The sequence below is a fragment of the Homo sapiens genome, chromosome X (assembly GCF_000001405.40).
Source record: "Homo sapiens chromosome X, GRCh38.p14 Primary Assembly".
NCBI lineage: Eukaryota > Metazoa > Chordata > Mammalia > Primates > Hominidae > Homo > Homo sapiens.
In genome coordinates this window covers 147,908,621-147,930,682 of record NC_000023.11, presented here as the reverse complement: position 1 = coordinate 147,930,682, position 22,062 = coordinate 147,908,621, and the positions used below count along the sequence as shown (strand labels likewise).

Below are 22,062 nucleotides of genomic sequence, written 5' to 3'. Positions count from 1 at the left end.
TCTGGCGGGAATCTGAAGACAGGAGTTTTAAAGAATGACAACCAATTAGAATGAAGAAGTTCTATACCCTTTTAAACAAAGATAAACATACATAATGAGAGGAATATGATTAGATATTTAAATATTCTCTAGTATTTTTAATGACAACATGTTATATGGAAGAAGCATTGCCGCATTTTATTAGCAACTTTGATAAACTTCTAGTAAAAGTGAAAGTACCAGAAGTCCCTTAATATACATAAGCTGCTGTTTAATTTTGAAACCTCAGGCATGGAAACTTTAGTATGATTATGCTTTGTACAATTTTCCAACTATAGAACCTAAGGAATTGTTAAGAAGCAGTAAATAAATGACAAGCTCCCCATATTCAAGTTGTGGAATGATACAGTTAATCGTTCCTAGGTACCCTTACAAGCAGTGCTAGGGAAAGTGACATACCTCCAGCTGCTTACTAGCTTCTTCATTTCTCATTATCAGAGACAACTTAGTGCGCAGACTCCGAAAGTGCATGTCAATCAGCATATGTGCTCGCTTTGAGGTGACTTCATTGATGGACTAAATGATTTAAATTAACAACATTATTATCAAGGCAATTGCCCCAGATGAATTAAACTAAAAATAAACAACTCAAAAATGCTCACCAAAATGACAAGCTGATAATTTTCTGGATCATAAGTTACAGAAAAGGCACCAACTGCCTTTTTAAAATCCTTATGTGCCGCCTCTTTGGCACACCTAGAAATTTAAAAAAAAAAATTAAGATGAATAATTACCAACTACTGACATAAATAAATGCAGGCAGATTTACACATACAAGAATCATGGATTCATATTAAATTTGATTTATGCAAAATATGCTATATCCATTTAGAAGCTTAGCTCCTTTTCTGTACATTTCTGAAATACAGCTTAGATTACCAAAAGAGACATATTCAGGGGAACCACTCTACACTACAGGTTTCCTGATTTCAGTTACATACAAGTCAGTAGTTTTCTTAAGTCAACTATTGAAAACTTTTGGAGATAGCTACCTACAGGGTATCTGATTTCTTTCTTCTTCTCTTGTTGCAGGCCTTTTTTTTTCCTTTTTTTTTAATTTTTAGTTTTGTGGGTACATAGTAGGTATATATATTTATGGGGCATATGAGATGTTTTGATACAGGCATGCAATATGAAATAAGCACATCACGGAGAATGGGGTAAGAAACTGCTAAACGATTTGAGGGAGAGAAGGAAACGTACATGAACCAGAAGGCACAAAAATTTACACACATACACAATCTCTAGAAAAGGGAGGATTTCTATGTATTCTGAACTGCAATTTAATGTTCAACAACATGTCCAAATCAAACGTACTGTATTCACTTAATAAAATCTGTAAAAAATAAAAATGCGTCTCTTCTATAGTCTTTAAGCATTATTCCAGATCAAGGATTGTAAGATGAGATGACTTTTTAAAGCTTCTTTGGCTCTACTTATTACACATTTATCTGAAAACATTTTAGGTAAAAGAGAAAAAAACGGAGAAATCGTTTATAGTTTGTGACTTATGACAGAATTATCACATTTGTTTGATCAGTTTTTAAATCTTAGAATGAACAAAGTTAGTTTAGAAAACAAATGTACATTATGTACATCAGACACGTGTATAGCCAAGTAAGTTTAAACAAGCGCAAGGCTGCCTTGATTCTATAAGTAGGAAAAGTTAAATAAGTTTTTTCTCCATTGCTCTTGCAAACCAAACCATTTTTGCCAAAGTCCACCAAATTTAAAATCAATTTCTAGTAGTTTAAAAAATTTTAAACTACTAGAAATTCTTCTAAACTAATTGCATATCACTTCCAAGTTCTCAGCATTTCTTGTGTATCAACTTACATTTGCCGTAAGTCTTCTGGCACATCCAGCTTGATCTTATGGAAAGTATCTTTTGTGGCAGGTTTGTTGGGATTAACAGATCTTAGACGTTCAATTGTGACAATTTCATTGTAAGTTGCATCACATGCTGCATATTCTATCACATAAAACTGAGAAATAAATAAAAGTCACTTCTAATCACAATTTTTAAAGTAAGAATAAGAAGTTCTCCCTATTCAGTTATTTTAAAATAAATAATCTATGTGAAAAAATTTATGACCAACAGAAACATACTGAACACATAGTGAAAACATTTTAATTAAATTACTCAAAATTAGATATTACTTCAAAATAGAAATCCACACGGGAATGTACAACCTGGGTTTAAAAAAAGGAAACAATATAAGAAAAAAATTTAAATAGGCATTTTCCTACCTCACCCTTTATCATCCTCACTTTAGCTAACCACCAACAGCAAGGCTCTTTTTCATTTGCTCTGGAATACACCTACACAAAAATTACAACACAGAATATTTCATGATTAACATAATTTTGAAATCTACAGATTTTCAGATATCGAGGAAATTTTCTTAAAATGCCCCTAGGTGTCTTTAAAAACCACATGTCATATATCCTCAACCAAATTGTAACCCTGTCTATGTACCCCGAGGTAGGCAGAGATACATAATCAGAAACTACCTGAGATTGCTTTGAAGCTCCTTGTAAAAATCAGTTTTCCTATATTTCTGTTCTAATTCAGCAATAATTAGTGCTCTGAAAATAGACGCCCATAAATACAAGCACACTTTCCTTGGGTACTCAGCAAGTTACAAAAAATGTATCTAAAAATGTATAAGCTTATTTTTGCTTTATCCTAGTAAGCAAAAATTGACTGAAAGTTACTGACCATGCCCTACTGTCTTGTTGCTTGGTCACTAAAGTAAGACCACTGAACATTCAGCCCACTAAGGATACCACTCTGGCAGTCATATCTCCTGGAACTAAATGGACAGATCCTTGGTCACTTTCTGGTCTCCTGCTTCCTCTCCACTAAAAATGACAACTTCATGGTGGCAATCCTCTGGATATCACTTTCCTGGTCTGTCACACACTGCAGATCAGTTCTTCTAACTGATCTCTTTGATGACCACTTCAAAGTTCACTTAAGATGTACAGCATGGAACCTTTCATGAAGACCCTAGCAAATCAAGGTTAATAGGAAAAGAGACAACAGAGTATATATGGACAGAGAGACAGGGATACTCAGAAGCAGAAAAGAGAAATAAGAAAGACAAGGGGGATAAAGACATGAGGCCAAGAGAGGTACAAAGTCTAGGGCTGACAAGTAGAGTAAAAGCTCGAACTTGTCTCCCTTTTACAACCAAAGTTAATGATCACACAATACAGTGACTGAATACAACTTAACATACCTTTCCCTCTTGCTTCCATCTTTCTCAACTACTCTAGCCAGAGAAATTACCTCAACGAATCGGTGTGTAAGACAGTGAGGTCATCCTAGCAATGGTATCTCATTGGTCCCGATCTGTCAAGTGACCAAGCTGGGGAGAAAAAGTCCCTTTCATCCCTCCATCAAACACTATTCTGGGTACTCCTAATACAGACCAAAGACCTGGGTCTTGCCTTCAGAGAGCTTACAGTCTTCTGGGGAAGTGGACAGCTAAGCATACACAGTGTTTCTGTTCCCTATTAAGATCCCTTGCAAAACCAAGCCCAGCTGCTTACACCTAGTAGAGATTGGTTACATTTTTGGAAAATAAATAACACTATATCCTATGTCCACTTTAAAACTGTAGAGAGAAAAACACAGGCCTGGACATTGAGAGATCTTCCCTGACTACTCTCTGAAACAGCAATCCTGTCCCTAAATCACCTTTCATCCTCTCCCTTTTTTTTTCTTTAAGACTCACATCTGTCATATTAGCTATCCTTACTGGAATGTGATTTCATCAAAGGCAGAAGATTCTGTCCTGTTTTTGCTACACCTTTACTACCTAGTGCAGCAAATAAGAATTCAAGGACCAGCTGGGCATGGTGGCTCACATCTGTAATCCCAGCACTTTGGGAGGCCGAGGCGAGTGGATCACCTGAGGTCAGGAGTTCGAGACTAGCCTGACCAACATGGTGAAACCCCGTCTCTACTAAAAATATAAAAATTATCTGGGCGTGGTGGTGGGCGACTGTAATCCCAGCTACTCAGGAGGCTGAGGCAGAAGAATCGCTAGAACCCGGGAGGCGGAGGTTGCAGGGAGCCAAGATCGCGCCATTGCACTCCTGGATGACAAGAGTGAGACTCCATCTCAAAAAATAAATAAATAAATAAATAAAGAACTGAAGGACAGGACCTAGAACCACTCTGCCTCACCTGCACAAATGTCTACTTAGCGACATCCTTCATACTACAAATATTCATGGAACGGCAACTATTATTAACTAATAGTAAGGCATTATGCTTATTATTGTAGAAAAAGAAGAGAAGCAGCTCAAAATGGAGTATGTGAAAGGATACAAAGGAGAGAAGATACCACACAAACTATATGAGGCACTGTAAGCGCCTTAAATACAAAACCAATTTCTAATGGAGAAAGAAATCACAAACACAACATTTCTGTTCACATGTTAGATCTCCATAGCACATTTTGGTCAAAGAGCTCAACGGGAGATAAGCAGGTAGTTCACGGTATAACCTGTGAAAAAGAGATTTTACCAATATGTATAAACTAAAGCTTGTAGGTTTTTAAAAATATACCAAGAAGATTCACTGCTACTTAAAGAAATTCTAGTATACTATTTTGTAATAAAGCATGATTTCTTTCCTGTGTAAAATTAATTTTCATAATCCATTTTGCTTACAATGGGGACACAGTTGTAAACAAACAACATACTATTCAAAGATTCAGAAATTGAGAGAAGGAGAAAAGAATTACTAGTGGGCAAAGGAACTTGCGGCAGTGACTTTCAAATACATGCTCTGAGTACTGCTCAAATAGCCAAATGTAAGCATCATGTATCATTTTGAATTATTAATAAGATGAGTTAGTCAAAAGCACGTGTCCATTCCAGCTGTAATTCTCAAAGTAATTTAAACAGTGTTAAAGACAAAGTATTAAAAAAAAACACAGATAAATTAACCCCACTCTTTCAGTGCTAAATGACTTTATGGCAGGGAAAACTCACCTCAACTTCATCACTTTCATTTATATCTTTATTATAACCTACAGGAGGTGGGAATCTGACATCATGAAATGGAATCTGCCTATCAGGCTGCCAGCTGTAAATAAGCAAACATACAATTATTTAACATGCTTTTCATGTTTAACTGAAATAATGACCACTCTGCCATCAACTTTTGGTTAAGGCTGACCCCTCTTTTTCTAGTTTCAAGAAGCAAAAGCTTTAAAATCATCAGTTTTTGCTGAGTGGGACATAACGGCAATATAGTAACATTTCAGCAAAGTCTGCATGCAGCACAGCAGCCTACTCCCGTTTGGAATATTTCTCTAAACACAATACAGCAACATTATGATTTTCAAAACAAGTCTTCTTTCCAATAATTTCAACTTCTAAGAGCTTTAAACATAAGTCCACAACAGAAATTTCCTTCAATATTTGAATATTAGTACCAGTAATTGTTAGTAATATAAATATGCTTCCACTTGCAGAAGAATTTTAACCACATTCCAAGGACCACAAAAACTGCCCTCTAATTCCCAAGCAAAATGGGGCTATCAGCACATTAGCAATTCACAACTCACTTTTCCCCCTTTAAATTTTAGATCCCACGAGGTGGTCAATTCTTGCTGTGGGTAGCTGGATGCTGATCAGTATGACGTTATCAGCATGCACTGGGATGGTGGGGTCTCCTAAACCACAGAAACCCGATGGAGACAGCCTATAGGAGTTTAAGTTGCCTATGTTTTTAAATTTAAAATGATATTAAACAACTCTGAAAGATACCAAATTATTTTTTATATCCATAAAAATATAAAATATTAGGATGCGGTGGCTCAAGCCTATAATCCCAGAGCTTTGGGAGGCTGAGGTGGGAGCACTGCTTCAGGCCAGGACTTCAAGAGCAGCCTGGGCAACAAGGTAAGACCTGATCTTTACAACAAATTATTAAAAAAAAAAAAAAATTAGGTGCAGTGGTATGTGCCTATAGTCCCAGCTACTCGGGAGGCTGAGGTGGGAGGATAGCTCAAGCTCAGGAGTTCAAGGTTACAGTGAGCCATGATCATGCCACTGCACTCCAGCCTAGGTGACAGAGTGAGATCCTGTCTTTAAAAAAAAAAAAATATATATATATATAGACACACACACACACACACACACACACACACACAAATAAAATACTGAAAGACAAACTTTGCAAAAATACTGAGGATTCAACTTCCGGAGCAGTCACATCTGGGTTCTTTTTGGTGTTCTTCATCAGCAGATACTGAGATATGTTGTATGTATAATGTCGATGTTTTACTAAAGAGCTTTCTTAGTAAAATTCTATTGAGAAAAGTACTTGTTTTTGTTAAAGAAGAGCTGTTATATAAGCGGGCAAATATTAAGTCAGAATTTGTGGAAATCTGATTAGGGCCTAAATTAACTGAACCCTCCTCTGAGTTATTATACACACCTAATAGATGTTATACATTCATTGCTAAATTTGATTTTAAAGCATATAATAATATATAACTCAATGGTTCCAAGGAAAAAATAATGATTTTAAGTGTATACAGATAAAAATTCAAATTCCTTATTAAAAAATGTGAAATATGAAAACACCTTTATGCTTTATGGAAGGTTTAGGAAGCACCTAAAAACAAAGCACCTAAAACAATCTGCTATCAGTAACAGGAGCTTCTTCCTGATTGAAAGGAAAGAAAGGGTAAATACAATCTGGTGTTTTACAAAACACTGTTTTCGTTTTGTTTCTAACAGAAAACCAAAAAGGAAACACACAAGGAAGGGCAAAGAGATTACTTTGGTGGAGACCTATTAAATCCTATTGATGTGCTCAAACCCAGTGTTGTATTGCAAACATACTCCATGAACACAAGGAAAAATCAATGATCTATTTCAAACTCCCAGGATGACAAAGAGCTTGAAGAGAAACTTTCATGCAGATATGGTACAGGAGATAAATAATTGGAAGGTCCAAAGATGAAATAATTTTAAGTTTATGGTAGAAATCTGATTGAAAATTAAAAAGAAGTGATCTAATAAATCAATGTATAAACTAGACAAATTCTTAAATGCATAGAGGAAATGAGTGTTTGCTTAACACTTTAGATTATAGACTACAGGAAAAACTAAAAGAGTAGCAAATAAAGACAACTCTCCCTTTATGGGAAACAGCATTTACCTAGTGATGTAAGTAAGTAGATAAAGTGTATAATTGTAAGAAAAAAATACCCTCCAAGTTATCAAAGATTCCTCTGTTGGTGTGATGCTGTTGTCTATTGCATAGCCATGGATATATGAAACAGCGAAGAGACAAATACTAAAACTTTTGGCTTTATGTATTCAGGGAAAGGTATTCTACTATTCAAACTTGTATTTTGGTCTGCGATTATTAGTCCAGAGCCAGAAATAGGGTTAGATGCTTTTAATCCTTTTATCTCTGTCCCCCTACACGTGTTTCAGGCATCTAAGGATACTACTTTGTCCTGTTGCTAGCCAAAAGAATCTGCTAAGTTCAATTATGAAATATATTTTCTAGACACTGAAACACAGGCCTGGTTTTAAACTTTAGAAGCAAGATGTGTGTATTTATTGCTCAGTATGCCTGGGTCACATACTACATTTTAGCAGACATAATCCACATATCATTATAATTCATCAATTTAAATGTACAATTCAATGGTTTATAGAAGGTTTACAGTTATGTGCAATAATTACCAGTCAATTTTACAACATTTTCATTGCCACACACACAAAAATCCTGTACTCTTTAGCTATGTTCTCCCCACCAGCCCCAGCACAAGCAATCACTAATCTACTTTCTGTCTCTATAGATTTGCAGCCTGCTTTTGATATATTATTAATTTTCTTGGTATATAAGAGCCAAAAAAATGATAACTGTTAACCATCCATCAGAGTTTAGTAAAATCCTAAGATCATAGCCACATCTACACTTTGACTAAGGAGTTTATATGTACTTTACAATCTTACCAACAGCTACCCTGAAAATAGCCTTTATTAGCATTCAAAACATTTAGTCAAGAGACTTGTGTTCTCCAATAAAATGTTAACATCTATACTATTGATGCTTTCATACAGTTAATATTCCTAGGCCTATGACTGTTTTTATTTCTTCATCTAGCAAAAGAGAACAGAAAAGATCAGCTACTGCTATTGCTGAACATATGAAACATTAAAAAAAATCAGATAATAGGTAAACATGACTGTTTCCATAAAATATACTAGACAACTAAAACCATCAGTTTTAGATTTAATGTTAAAGAACTCACATACAACTTTTTAGCAATACCCATGAATCTTTTCATTACTATCTTTTTAAAATTTACAAATACTCCTATGCGAACTTCCAGTTACTAATACACAAGACTCTCTGGTTTCTTTCTTCACATTCAAGGGAATTAAGACGTAAGGATCAATACCATACAATAAGGGACCTCCAGGACATTAGCAGAAACAGTCATTCCATTAGTTTAATACTGAGTTGTTCAGAAACTTCTCAGTCAGTAACATGAAGATCCATTCCTGAAAAGCACTCAAACTGGACTTGAATTTTTAAAAAATGAAGAGTAGAATTAGCATAAAATATTAAAGAACCTCATCATTAAAATTATATAACGAGACACTTACTTGTTTTCAAATGCAACTGTTATTGAATCTTCATGAACATCCTTTACAAATGCCTGTGTAAGAAAAAACGTTAAATTAACTTGTGAGCTTAAAGATAGTTTTTGTTTTTAGTTAAATTTTACAGTGATACCAAACGTTTTATGTGTTTATGAATAAAATAGAACTTCAAATGAAGGTCAGTTTTTGAAGATCATTTTATTCATTAAGCACATCTATATTGCCACCTTGTATGTGCTATACCCTAGAGATAAACATAGCTAAAACACTAAACATGAGAAAAAATTCTCCACAGATTTCAACATCTCGAAAAATAGACAAGTATACTGGAAATTACAATGTGGTAGTGAGTGCAAAGCTGGACGTACATTTTAGGTAGAATTACTGAAAACTAAGAAAATTGTTCCAGAACCATATATCAGCCATATATTGTAACCTACCTTTCTCTCCTTAAAATCTTAGAATACCAATAGTCAATGATTAAATATAACCTCAAATCTATCTATCTATCTATATATATATATATACGCACACACAAATATACTAAACTTTCTTTAACAATCATATGCTGCAAACAACACTAAAAAGTCCAGTTACTAGAGTTGAATTAAGTTCTCAATCTCACAGTACTTGTAGAAAAAATATATAAAGTCCAGAGGTTTAGATCTTTTAAATCTGATGACACAATTGTTAGTAATCTACACAAAGACAGACAAAATAGCTAATTATCAAGAATTCTTTAATCAGCATGCTGTCTGTAACTTTATAAAATTAACCTTTTAATAGGTACAGAAAAGGAAGGTTTTTGTTTTGTTTTGGACAATTAGAAGAATAGGACAAAGCATAAAGAAACCCAAAGGCTTTATATCTTAATTTATTTTAAAAGGGCTTGGGGAGATTTAAGCTTCTTACTCAAATTTATTCTGTATGTTTCTCCCCTTCAGTGGTTTCTCCCTGCCTGCAGGACCATAGCCAAACTCCTTCTCCCGCTGTAAAAGGCTCTACAGGAGCTGTCCTCCCCAGCCCCACCACTTCTTCAACTTTATCTTTCATATCCTTAGAATTTGTGACCCAACAATGCTAAACTACTTGTGCCATACTCTGTAGTTTCTGGGCCTCTCTCCATTCCTTCTTTCCTATTGTCCTTCCCCTCTTTTTACATAGCTATCTCTTACTGGTCTTCCAGATTTCAGTTCAGATGTCAACTTCAACGGGAGAACTGAGAAGTCTAGGTTAAATTCCTGTCCTCTGCATTCTCATAGCATCCTATGCTTATCCCTACAATAAACTTACCCCACTCTATTATTATAGCCCATTTTCTCACTAACAGTAAGTTTTCTGAGGGTGGTGTCAGGTTTTACTTCATTTACGGATATACTGCAGAGTGTCTAGTATGAACTCAGTGAGTACTTATCAAATAGATCATTGCCTAAGAGGTTCCTATCCCAGCCTTAGGGAAAAGGTATGTGTGTGGGTGATGGTGGTAGGTTGATAAGACAAAGGAAAACATACTGAAGAAGGTGAGGTTCCTACTGACCCCTTAAAGGATAAGGAAGTACTAGCTAAACAAAAGAGAGTGGAGGATGGAGAGGCATTCCACTAAGCCTACGGGGCAGCAGGCATAAAGGTTTAGACAGTGAGAAACAGCTGGGTTGTGGCAGAAATAATAAATCCTTTGTCAACAAAGAAGCCAAGACAATTCAATGGGGAAAGTATAGTGTTTTCAAAAAATGAAGCTGGGACAAGTGGACACCCACATGCAAAAAGAATACGTTTCAACCTTTACCTCATACTGCATACAAAAAAAAATCAATGAATATGCATCAAAGACCTAAATATAAGAGCTAAAATTATAAAACTCTTGGGAGAAAACACAGTAGTAAATCCTCATGACGCTGAATGTTTGATATCCATATTGGATAGTGAGACAATAACTAGTTCGGATTAAGACCATTCTCTAACTTCGGTGTCCTCAGTAAATGGCATAGTTTCTGGTATATAGAACATGCCCGATACATGTTTTTAAAAACAAATGGTTCAATGCAGATGTCTTTGTAAACAAATATGTCTTCAAAGGCCTATGATATAAAAAGATTATTTTAAAAAATGAAACTTCCCAAAATATCAAATTAAAGCATATGGAGTGAAGCATTAATTAGCTGCTCTTAAGAAAAACTATGGAAGCTGAGACAGGGCCCTGGAAAACACTGATACAGAAGCAACTTAAACAGAGATACCAAGCTTCTTCAATAATGCTTAAATAAAAGTAAAGCTACGCTAAAAGAAAGCTTCCTTGTAAGATCAAGGTGGACTATAATGGCATCCATATGTTGTGCTATACCCAAGGTGGCTAAATAATTATTTTTAAGTTAAGCATGGGTATATACCCTTATAGTTAGTTACTGGTTCAAAAGGGGAGAAATCAACATTTTCTTATCATTTTGATCTTGCTTATTTTTACTCAGCTATATTTAAATGACCAATATTTTCTACAGCATATTTTGAGAACTCTAGCTTAATACTGCCAATGATATTTTAGAATTATTAGATTTCATAAGGGTGCATGCCCCAGTGCTTCAAGGGATTGTTTGCCTCACTATTACTTCAACAGAGAGGCCTAATTTTGAGTTAGGTTGCAGGAACTGGTCACTCTTAGGCTCTTATTTCTATAGGTCGTAAAAATTATGGAGAATGGGAAAGAGGACTCTCCTGGCCCCGATTTCTCCCTTGTCTTTACAGGATGGCTAATAACAAATTAACAGTTTGCTTTTTGGGGGTGCTATTAGATTATTAACTAAAACTAAGACACCTATTAGGAAGTAACTGACCCCTTATTTACAAAGAAGGGCCACTGCTTCTGTGTTCATCCTTGTTTAAGGTTTCATAATGTTTATACATCTTGGCAGTAATTAACATTAGTTCCTTACTGTATATTACATGCTAAAAATGTTGTCCTTTAATCAGCTATTAGAACCTTGTTACAGCTAGGTAAAGAAATGTTCTAAGTAAATCAAGTATCTACCCAAGACTACTGCCCTTGTCTAAAACTATGCCATCTACCATAGTAGCCACGGGTCATGTGCGACTACTTACATTAAAATTAAATAAAATTAAAATCAGTCTCCAATTCACTCTTGCAACATGTCAAGTGCTCAATAGCTACATATGGCTTAAGGGCTACTGTAGTAGACAGACCCGATTTAAAACATTTACAAATGTTGGAGACTGTTTTCAGACTCATCATAAAAGCACTATAATATCAGCCTTATTACTACATTGCTATATTTTGTTTTTTTCTCTTTGCCTAAAAGTTATTGCCCAGTTGAATCATACTTATCTACATTTGCTTATTTCCTAAAATCAAATATTCTCTCAAAGGAGGAAGATCTGCAAGTGCTGTAGCTATTCAAAAAAAAAAAAAAAAAAAAAAAAAGCTTTTGCAGGCTCTGAATGCATTTCCGGATGATTTCCGGATGTAGTGTCAGAGTGTCAGAAATGGTTTGAGTAATCATCAGAGCCCAACAGGGCCACTGCCTTTGAGTTAATGAGGCTTATCTGTAAATGGATGTTTGCATGACTTTTTCAAAATCAGTCATTTTAAGTGAATACAGAAGGTATATAATACCTTTGGTTGCTGCTTTAATAAGTGGAATAAAAGAAACTCATAGGTTACGTTTGGTCTACACTCGCGTGAAGGACAAATACCTCCTGTGAATTCTAAGGTCTTTCACTAATTCCAACAAGGTTCCATCTTCCTGTTTCTCATCATAGTTTTTCCAATAGCCGTCGCTTTTGGCTCTGTCCTTCCCCTTATCCACCACTCACCCACCCACAGATACACTCATACCTTCCTTCTTTGGCCATCTCCAGAGCACTATCACTCCACCTATCACCACCTTGGAAAACTGTGTTTTGCTATGATCCCTACCTATCAGGCAAAGCTGATGTCTGTAGAGAAGAGAGGTTGAGGAGGTTCCTGAGAGGTTTCCAAAGGCAGCAAATTCAATGAATTTGAATGAATGCACAGGGGAATTAAAGTGTATTGGGTGAGGACTAGGGCTCTTACTGGAGTCAGTGTACTTAGTGGTTAACGGTTTTGCTGTGAATCAGACCTACGTTCAAAATCTTGGCTCTAATACTTAATAGCTGTGAGACTCTCACCAAGAAGTGATCTCTGGACCTCAGATTCCTCATCTGCAAATAAGGAACTCGACCAGCCTCCTAAGACTGCTGTGGGTAATGAAATTACACACATAGGTGGCACTAAATAAATGAGAGAAAAGTAGAGAGTGTCATATTTTATAAGAGACACAGAATCATAAATGTTTTTGCATTTGGAAAATGTACATCCCAACAAAAGCACTCTTTTTTTTAAAAAAGCTTTAAAAATTGGGATAGAAAAAGAAAACAATGTTTCCACAAAGATACTTAATATTAAAAGGTTATTTAGAGTTTGGGAAGAAAAAAAATGTGATGAGAATCTTGGAATTTGAGAAAGGCGATAAAGTACAGTTTAAAAGAGATACAAGTTCTTCATCAGGGTGAATAAACAGGAAATAAATCATTAAGGGGTCCCTAATTTACTAGCAACTGGGCCAAAGAGGTAATTACAATAATCATATTTATGAAAGTATGTAATGCCTAGAGCTATCTATTCAAACATTCTATTACCAGGACTGATGAAACAAAGACAGAAAGTCCATCCTTATTTGGGTAAACTCTCCCCAGCGACACCTCACATTCCTTCCCTTAGTAAAGTATCTTACCAACAGGAACCACTGCTCACAGGAGAGGCTATTATGTGTTAAAGTTTCAATGTACACCCGACCACCAATGAACATAACTACAACATCATCAGTAAGCTTGTATCACTTACTGAAGACAGAACATGTAGTGCTATGATAATTCTCGTTAGGAAAAACTTACAGCATTGTAAAATATCCCTCCTAAAGAAAACCTGCTGGAAGCTGGACCCGGTGTCTCATGCCTGTAATTCCAGCACTTTGGAGGGCTGAGGCAGGCAGATAACTTGAGATCAGCCTGGCCAACATGGCGAAACCTCATCTCTACTAAAAATGCAAAAAATAGCCAGGAATGGTGGCACATGCCTGTAATCTCAGCTACCCGGAAGGCTGAAGCATGAGACTGGCTTGAACCCGAGAGGTGGAGGTTGCAGTGAGCTGAGATCCCACCACTGCACTCCAACCTGGGCGACAGTGAGACCTGTTGAAAGAAACAAAGAAACAAAGAAACAAACTAAAGAAACAAAGAAACAAACCAAAGAAACAAAGAAACAAACCAAAGAAACAAAGAAACAAACTAAAGGAGCAAAGGAGAGAAATGAAGGAAAGAAAGGAAAAAAGAAAAGGAAAGAAAAAAGGAAGAAAGGAAAGAAAGGAAAAGAAAGGAAGAAAGGAAGAAAGAAAACCAAAAAAGAAAACCAAGAAAGAAAACCTGCAGGAGACAGGATAGGGACATAGGAAATGTGATAACAGTATGATTCAAACCCAAGGCTTCATATATAAAGCAAGTTATCATTTTGTCCCCACTCCCCCCGCCCCGTTGTATGGGGACACTAACAACATAAAAGAATAAAGAGAGACAATAAACCTCATCAACAGTCCTTCCAACCATACCACATGTCCAGGACTTCATATAGGCTACAAATTATGTGAAAAACACATTTAGCTTCACTCTGACCAAAAGACAACAGAGACATGTGCAAAGAAAACATTATTAAATTAGTTACTAATTTTTCTTGTGTGTATGTATTCTAACTTTTGAATACTTCAGTTTTATGAGCTCCCAATATAACAAAGACAAATTTCCTAGCAGGGTCAAAGATTTCTAACTTTATCTTTCCTTAACAGGCATCCACATGAAGAAGTACAGCGCCAAGGTTCAAGAATTAGTAACAAAAAAAGCTGGCACATAAACTGAATTATTTCATGATGGCTTTGTATTAACAATAAAAAATGGTAATATAACACTGTAACTATAGTTATAGGATGCTAAGGCAGTGTTATAGCACAAAATACAATCAAAGACCACCATGAAATTGAAAACTAAGCAGGAAATCAAACCAATTTCTTCAAGCTAAATTTCATCATTTCAGGAATTCAGAATCCTGACCCTTAATGGCCCTGACACTTGGTAGTAAGTCACTTACCTAACCTCTCTGTGCATCATTTAAAGAATGGGAATAACAACAATACATCAAATAAAGTATCAGAGAGAACAGTGCCTGGCACCTAGAAAGTACTCATCCCCTGTTAACTATTATTATAATCACGATCCCAATCTTCTCAGGAAGCACATTCCTATAGTGGGCAGAAATCAGAAACTCCAGTAATATACCACTGAATGTTGCATCTAATTAATAATTTGGAGGTTATGAGAATATTTAAGTATGGGGTTAGAAAATGCACAGTTCAAAAGGGGAAAAATGATGCAGCCACAAAGATCCTAAAAACTAAAAAGGGCAATCAGACTGTAGGAAGGAAAAAAAATGTGGTTGACCCCAATAATTCACTTCCTCGAAGTACAGAATAACACCTTTATGCAAAGTTAGCTCAGGAGACTTCAGAGAAACCACGAGTGCAAGTTTATTTACACTTTACCCAAGTTGATTTATAAACTTATAAATTTATAAACCTTATGCAAGTTTATTTGTAGTAAAACTGATTTTACTACATTTCAGCTATGTATCTGAAATGACATGTTAGACCACTAATATCTTCATTAAAAATATCCTTTTGATTGTACACTTTATCATATTTAGCTGCTAGCTGCCATAATACTACTAACCAAATGAAAGTCTGTCCTCAAACACTGAACTTAAAAAAGTATAATCTAACAACAAAATTACAATCTAGTATAATTACACCATATTACAACAAGGAATCAGAAATCAGAGGTTGTATTTTCAGAAAACAAAAAGGTTTGTATCTTATGTCTCCAACATGTGATTTTTCCATCTTTAGTAATTTTCATACTAGTACACAAAACCTACAAATCTTAGGATTCATTAGGGCATTCATATTGGAGTGATACGCATTCTACATTTAAAATGGAGTTAATTCATTACCATTCTCAACACATCAAAACTTCTAGTCCAAAGAAAACAAATTATGTGGGGCAGATGCACCTAGAATAAAGACTTTATTTCATCATTATTCATTTAGAAAATACTTTGTAAAGATTTTATGAGGTGTAAGTCAAAGTGCCTTCATATCTTAACACCTGCAGGGCACTATAAAGTGGTACACGTGACCAATTTTTTCTAAGTCAAACAAATACCTAAGCATAAAAGTAGTGGCTCTGGTGATCGCTAAATCTAACTTTTAAGTTTTTAAGAATAAACACCAGAAGATAGAGAGCTGTCCTTGCAAATATGGTGGTTATGTTAGGCAAATCAAAGTCTGAATTCCATTATACTCAAGTTGTTTGATTTGTTTAGTTTTAAAAGCTTTTCTATCAATTTGATGAACAAGGTTCCTATTTCTTTTTCCATAAATGTAACACTTCTCCACAGCAGTTCATTTTTCATTGGTTTTTATTTCACATCTTTCCTGTCCATCCCACTGGACAAGCAACTCAGTTTACTTTTGCTTTACTTTTAAAACTCACAGCAGTATTATAAGTCATATAAAAATTTCAAGCTTTTTTGTTACAGAAACTGTTCTTCCATCAGTGCAGACCATTTGAGATTTTCTTAGAAATCAAACTTAATTAAATAAACATAACAGCAATTTGTCTGACACACACTTGTTCAAGTATTAACATTTCTCCTCAGGGAACTAAGGGGCAACCAACCTATTCTTCATTCACCTTCAAGTTAAACAACTTCGTTACAAAACAAAACAAAAAAGGAGGGAATTAATAGCAAAAATAGAAGGCATTTCTTATATTCCAGTCAGTGTGCAAGCAAAATCACTGGAGCAAATCATAAGTTGCTGGAAGAGAACAATAAGTACTTCAAGGCCATAATGTGCTACTTGCCCTCTGTGATAAGCAAACTTTAGTGGCATCCAATCTAAGTTTATATCACAGGTCAATCAAAATCTTGCCTAACCATTAGCCGTTACTCACACATATATATGTATATGTATTATAGTTATTAGTGCCAGAAATCTAGTGACCAAAACCACTAATCTAGGACCGTGAACGATTCTACGCAAACTCACCAGAAGAAATTATGGATCAATAAAATCAATGAAATTAAAATTTTGACTGCAGAGTCAACTGAAACAATTTCATATTCATGAGACTGTTAAGAACATAAACGCGGGGTTACCTTTTGCCTCCTTTTACAGCAAAAGGCTTTATCTTTGTGCTCAAAGTATGGAACAGTTTACATACTTTACTCATTTATGAAATATACTGATCTCCAAATGTCTTCATAAAATTGGTAAACACAGAATAAAGTCAATTGTTTATTTTCCTATAGCCAAACGTGTCCTGTCTGAAACATTCAAGCCATTCTACAATACATTTAAGAATTGTGTTGGACACTGCTAATAGCTATTTTCCAGCCTTCCTTCCACACGCACCTTCTATTGCCAAAATACTGTAGTAAGGTGGGATATTATTGAAAGAGGTTATAGACATTCAAAAGGAAATGAGAATTTATAGATGAATTTATACAGCACCTACATACCAACAAACGCACTACTGCTACATCAAATTTGTAAATCTTCCTTTTAAAACTGAAAGGTGTTAGTTGATCTGCAATGGTGTAACTTTAAAAAGCACAGTAAACCCATGAATGCCTATATAAAGCCTCAACAATTCAGTCCACTGCAACACCACAAATTCAAAGGAAATGTGGTCAAGTTCTTAGGGGCACAAAAATATTTTCGCTCAGTTAAAAAAAAAATGCCCTAGTAATAATATACTCTCAGTTAATTACCTGAAGTTTCATGGCATATATTTAGGTCTTTGGAAACTTAAACACACACACACAATTTTTAAGTAGCAGCGCTGCTAATGGTTTTAGACGCTGAAGCATGTGCATTCCTGAATTTACCCCGTTTAACAAAAAGGGGGACGCGAATATTCACGATGATCAACTTCTTCAATGCACTGCTGGGCCATGTTAGGGTCTTCCTGAAACTTTTGGATCTAAAATCTCCTCCGAAATCCACAAAGAGAAGCCACTAAAAATCAGTTGCCATTGTGATTTGGTGCCGACTACCGCTTCTTACTACTCTTTCTTCACAGCCCTCGCCCAGAACAGTGGAGCTCTCCGAAGTCCCAATGCTAGACCGGAAAAGAGAAGCCAAAGGAGACCTGAAGCCCTCTTGGCGCTGCAGGAGGCGGCCCGGCTGAAGCGCCCCCCGCTCCTCCACAACTACCCACACGACAGGCCCGGATCCCGCTGGGAGATGATGTTTAGGAAAGGGGGAATAAGCCATCGCCGTCACTTAGCGCCGATTTCGGCCCTTCCCGCCCGGCTCTAGTACCTGCCGCCGGCCCTCGCCCATCCCCAGCTCACCCCGGCGGGGCTCGGCGCCGAAAGAGAACCCTCTCCTCGCTGGTCTCTCATTTCGATAGGCGCTAGGGCCTCTCGGAGTCGGAGAGGGGCTTCCAACAGGCCCCAAGTCCAGTCCTTCCCTCCCAACAACATCCCGCCGAGCGTGCCCTGGCACCCAGGCGCGGTGCTCGGGAAGAGGGCCCCGGGCCTGCCTCCCGCCGACACCAAGAAGAAAAGGGAGGGAAGGAAGGGCGAAGATGGGGCCTGCCCTAGAGCCAAGTACCTTGTAGAAAGCGCCATTGGAGCCCCGCACTTCCACCACCAGCTCCTCCATCTTCTCTTCAGCCCTGCTAGCGCCGGGAGCCCGCCCCCGAGAGGTGGGCTGCGGGCGCTCGAGGCCCAGCCGCCGCCGCCGCCGCCGCCGCCGCCGCCTCCGCCGCCGCCGCCGCCGCCGCCGCCGCCGCGCTGCCGCACGCCCCCTGGCAGCGGCGCCTCCGTCACCGCCGCCGCCCGCGCTCGCCGTCGGCCCGCCGCCCGCTCAGAGGCGGCCCTCCACCGGAAGTGAAACCGAAACGGAGCTGAGCGCCTGACTGAGGCCGAACCCCCGGCCCGCTGCGGGTGTAAACACTGAAACCACGTCACGTGATCAACGCTGTTCCCTCCCCCCGCGGGCTCAGCCCCTCGGCCCCGCCCTCTCTCTTCAAGTGGCCTGGGAGCGCGCGCATGCGCGCTGCTGGGAACCGGCCGGGGTGCCGGGTCGAAAGACAGACGCGCGGGCCGGGCGTGCGCGGGCTTGGTGGAGGGCGGGAAGGCTGAAGGGCGGTGACAGGTCGCACTGCCTCGCGAGGGCCAGAACGCCCATTTCTGCAGAGGTGCACTCAGTGGCGTGGGAAATCAAATGCATCCGGTTATCCCAGTTCGGCCTCTCTGGGATTCCGCGGGAGGGGGTGTCTGGTCTGGTTTGGTTTGGTTTGGTTTGGTTTGGTTTGGTCCGGTTCAAAGTAGCGCAGTCTGACTGAGCGGGAGGTGGAGTGGAAGGCGAGAATAGGGGTGAAGGATTAGACAGAAGAAGACTTTGAACTAGGAACAGTGGCAACCAGGGTGACCCAGGCTTTTGTGACCCGTAGAGGCAGAAGGTGAGGCGTCTACGCCCTCTCTCACCAGATTTTGGGCGGCCCTGTGGAGACACCCTGTGCCCTTTAAGGGACATGGATTGAGTCGGGATCTCAAAATGTGAGCCTTTCCTCAGACCCAGCTTTGACCCACGTACTCGCCTTTCCTCAACTCATTTTCATACTTTCACTTGACTATATATTTTTTAAAAATTGTGTTAAGCACTTGAGGTTCATTTCTGCCCCTACTGTATGTGCACCCTGTGCCAGAGGGTGGGGTGAACACGTGTGTAGCAGTCATGCGTCCTGTCCACAGGGGCCGATGCACCTCCTTGCAACCCTTTACATTCCACTGTGAAACAAACCTCAACTTTTTCTTATTCCTGTTTTTACACCGTGCTTATAGCTGCCTTAATCCATGTTCCCTTCGGGATGCTGGTATCCAACTGAGAAGTTGACGGAGCATCTATCGTGTGCCAGACACTGTGCTAAGTGCTAACGAGAAATCGGTGAGCAAAACAGAAAAGAAAAAAAAAGAAGAAACGACTGCCAGCATTGAACTTAGTACCTAGCAAAGTAGGTGGACATAAATCAAATTGTCAGACAAGTAAATGAGTAGTTGCAGCTGTGATAAGGGGTATGAAGAATAGGCGCTTCCATGATGGCGGAACATGACCTAGTCTGGGGTGGAGAAGGGGAGATGATTCCAGCTGGAATATGGCAGGTGAGAGTTAACTAATAGCACTGAGTTGGCAGAGGCAGGATGACCTGCCCCAGGCAGGTGCCCCAGAATGAGAGGATGTTGCTGCTGGTGGAACTCCAGCTTTAAAGCGGTGGATCTAGGGCCACATTCCTCAAGGCCATAGCAAACAGGAAAGACCTTTTGGACTAGGGTCTTTGGAGTAGTCACATGAGGCCAAGAACCCAATAGGGCTGAAAGAGAATCTCATCATAGGCTGAATGGGAGCAGAGCATTAGCTGCAACTCCAATGTATTATAGTAAAAGGGGACACATTGATTAGAATGATTATACCCCTCCAAGTGTAAGCTGTTGTTCAATTTACCCAGGGCTTAAAAATATGTCAACTCTTCACAACCATTTTTACTACAAGCCACACTCAACCTGTGTTGTTCCCTGAACCTGTGATGCACTTTCATCCGTTCATGTCTCTACACATCCTTCCTGGGCCCCATAGAGGCCCTGCACCTTAAGGTTTTCAGCTGGATTCCTATTAGCTAGTTATTTTATCTCAGGTACAGAGAGTTAACTTTGCTCCTCAATTTTCAGCACATTGTCATATCAGTCCCTACAGGGTCCTTGTTTACATTATTTTATAGTGTTTATATTATTTTTTCCTCATCTTTCTCGATCCCCACTCTCATTCTTCTAGACACAAGCTGCAATATGTTCGATAGAGATCCTTGATAATTTAACACAGATAATGTTTTGTTTATGCCTCTTGCATTTACAGAGATGGTATTGGACTGTAAATCTCTATTTCCCACTGTTTTACTCAACAGTCTGTTTTTGAGCTATACCCACATTGCTGTGTGTACACCTAGTTTGCTACCGAGTATGCCAGAAATTTTATTCATACATATCCCTACTGATCGGGCATCTAGGTTACTGCCAACTCCCTGAAGTCATACTGTGGTGAAAACCCTTGTGAATGTCTTTACAAACCTTTGCCAGAACTTATTTTGTGCTCTTGTAGAACTTTGTGCATACCCTCTGCTTCCTCATTACACTGCTTGGCATATAGCAGAGACTCAACAAATGTTGAATACCTCTACTATGATGGTTAGTGTACTAGAATAATTTATTTATATTTCTGTTTTCCTTATTGGATTATTAGTACCTTCCAGACAGGGCAAATGTCTTTTCTATCTTTGTGTCCCTGGCACATTAAAAGTGGTTGATTTCAAGGTATGTTCAATGAATGAATAAATACTTATCTTCACTGCCAGTACATACTGCAACTTAGTCTTCCCCACTTGACTCTGAGTCTCAGCCTTACTCTGATCTCTAGCTTTTGATATTTCCCCTTTCAAGATAGCTTACCTGAATTCAGACACTGAGCTCAGGCCTGATCATGAGCCTGCTCTTCCAAAGTCCTCTCTCTCTCTCTCTCTTTCTCTCCTGTCTCTCGTTACAGGCAGCTCCTGCCTTCCAGTTCGTTGCTCAAGCCTAAAACTGAGACATTTTGACCCTCTTTCACACATCAGATCCATCAGCAAATCATTGTAGAATCCAGACTCTGTTTCTGATCATTTGCTCAGCTAAAACCATAGTCCAAGCTTCCATTCTCTTACCTGCATTATGGCAGCAACTTCTTCGCTGGTATCCCTGCAGTCACTGTCCACTGTTGTACCCTCTCTGACAGTTCTCAGCACAGAAGACAGAATGACCCTGTTGAGGTGTCAATCAAGTCACTCTGCCACTCACAATCCCCCAGTGACTCCCTACATCTCTCAGAGTAAAAGCCAGAGTCATTATTTATTCTGGCTTCAGTGCCCTATATACTCTGACTTCTGTTATCTCCGCTATCTCACCTTCTACTTTCCCCCTTCACTTCATTCCAGTGCATGAAATCTATCTAGTTCACCTAGATTTTCTCCTATGTTATCTTTCAGAAGTTTTACAGTTTTGTGTTTTGCATTTAGGTCTATGATCCATTTTGAGTAAATTTTTTTCAAAAGATATAAGGTCTGTATCTAGATTATTTTTTGCATATGAATGTCCAGTTATTCCAGCACTGTTTATTGAAAAGGCCATTGTTT

General features: G+C 38.3%; 1 protein-coding gene and 1 long non-coding RNA gene across 11 annotated transcripts in view, besides 12 other annotated features; one reads left to right on the top strand and one right to left on the bottom strand.

The window, feature by feature from the left end:
* The window catches only part of FMR1 (fragile X messenger ribonucleoprotein 1), a 39,207-nt gene extending 20,443 nt beyond the window's left edge, over positions 1–18,764 (bottom strand). For all 7 annotated transcript variants that reach the window (NR_033699.2, NR_033700.2, NM_002024.6 and 4 more), the window contains exons 1-7: positions 18,453–18,764; positions 8,698–8,750; positions 5,050–5,143; positions 2,290–2,361; positions 1,876–2,024; positions 642–735; positions 439–555 (exon numbers count right to left, since the gene is read on the bottom strand). Coding sequence is in view for 5 of the 7 variants with exons in the window: in NM_002024.6 (NP_002015.1) it covers positions 439–555; positions 642–735; positions 1,876–2,024; positions 2,290–2,361; positions 5,050–5,143; positions 8,698–8,750; positions 18,453–18,503 (630 nt within the window). In the remaining 2 variants the exon portion in view is untranslated. The remainder of the gene's footprint in view (positions 1–438; positions 556–641; positions 736–1,875; positions 2,025–2,289; positions 2,362–5,049; positions 5,144–8,697; positions 8,751–18,452) is intronic.
* Positions 16,815–17,808: an origin of replication, noted in NCBI's record as "region spanning amplicons Frax12, Frax13, and Frax13a corresponding to ORI III; peak of nascent strand synthesis detected by quantitative PCR of size-fractionated DNA". NCBI's record gives the evidence for it as "EXISTENCE:fractionation evidence [ECO:0000100][PMID:24419320]".
* Positions 16,815–19,718: a biological region, named in NCBI's record as "origin of replication in 5' region of FMR1".
* Positions 17,683–17,987: an origin of replication, noted in NCBI's record as "amplicon 3; peak of nascent strand synthesis detected by quantitative PCR of labelled nascent strands". NCBI's record gives the evidence for it as "EXISTENCE:nucleotide analog incorporation evidence [ECO:0001107][PMID:17668008]".
* Positions 18,344–18,443: an enhancer, noted in NCBI's record as "active region_30007". NCBI's record gives its function as "activates an Ori minimal core promoter by ATAC-STARR-seq in GM12878 lymphoblastoid cells {active_cell/tissue: GM12878}" and the evidence as "EXISTENCE:reporter gene assay evidence [ECO:0000049][PMID:35858748]".
* Positions 18,572–18,704: a tandem repeat, named in NCBI's record as "fragile site, folic acid type, rare, fra(X)(q27.3) A".
* Positions 18,573–18,632: a repeat instability region, noted in NCBI's record as "repeat instability region; expansion of the (CGG)n trinucleotide repeat is associated with a number of disorders, including and fragile X-associated tremor/ataxia syndrome (FXTAS), fragile X-associated primary ovarian insufficiency (FXPOI) and fragile X syndrome". NCBI's record gives the evidence for it as "EXISTENCE:nucleotide sequencing assay evidence [ECO:0000219][PMID:23064752]", "EXISTENCE:polymerase chain reaction evidence [ECO:0000082][PMID:7987398]" and "EXISTENCE:Southern hybridization evidence [ECO:0000078][PMID:7987398]".
* Positions 18,573–18,705: a microsatellite, noted in NCBI's record as "trinucleotide repeat; subject to instability and expansion".
* Positions 18,604–18,943: a silencer, noted in NCBI's record as "silent region_21039". NCBI's record gives its function as "represses an Ori minimal core promoter by ATAC-STARR-seq in GM12878 lymphoblastoid cells {active_cell/tissue: GM12878}" and the evidence as "EXISTENCE:reporter gene assay evidence [ECO:0000049][PMID:35858748]".
* Positions 18,727–18,938: an origin of replication, noted in NCBI's record as "Frax1c amplicon corresponding to ORI II; includes amplicon E from PMID:17196195; major peak of nascent strand synthesis detected by quantitative PCR of size-fractionated DNA". NCBI's record gives the evidence for it as "EXISTENCE:fractionation evidence [ECO:0000100][PMID:17196195, PMID:24419320]".
* On the top strand, positions 18,866–21,252 carry FMR1-AS1 (FMR1 antisense RNA 1). 4 transcript variants are annotated; one of them, NR_024502.3, is made up of 3 exons: positions 18,866–19,041; positions 19,299–19,402; positions 19,688–21,252. It is a non-coding gene; the product is annotated as an FMR1 antisense RNA 1 (long non-coding RNA). The 4 variants fall into 4 exon arrangements; NR_024503.3 differs by lacking the exon at positions 19,299–19,402; NR_024501.3 differs by having other exon boundaries at positions 18,866–19,305.
* Positions 19,024–19,233: an enhancer, noted in NCBI's record as "active region_30006". NCBI's record gives its function as "activates an Ori minimal core promoter by ATAC-STARR-seq in GM12878 lymphoblastoid cells {active_cell/tissue: GM12878}" and the evidence as "EXISTENCE:reporter gene assay evidence [ECO:0000049][PMID:35858748]".
* Positions 19,030–19,218: an origin of replication, noted in NCBI's record as "amplicon 1.4; detected by quantitative PCR of size-fractionated nascent strands". NCBI's record gives the evidence for it as "EXISTENCE:fractionation evidence [ECO:0000100][PMID:17101793]".
* Positions 19,529–19,718: an origin of replication, noted in NCBI's record as "Frax2 amplicon corresponding to ORI I; peak of nascent strand synthesis detected by quantitative PCR of size-fractionated DNA". NCBI's record gives the evidence for it as "EXISTENCE:fractionation evidence [ECO:0000100][PMID:24419320]".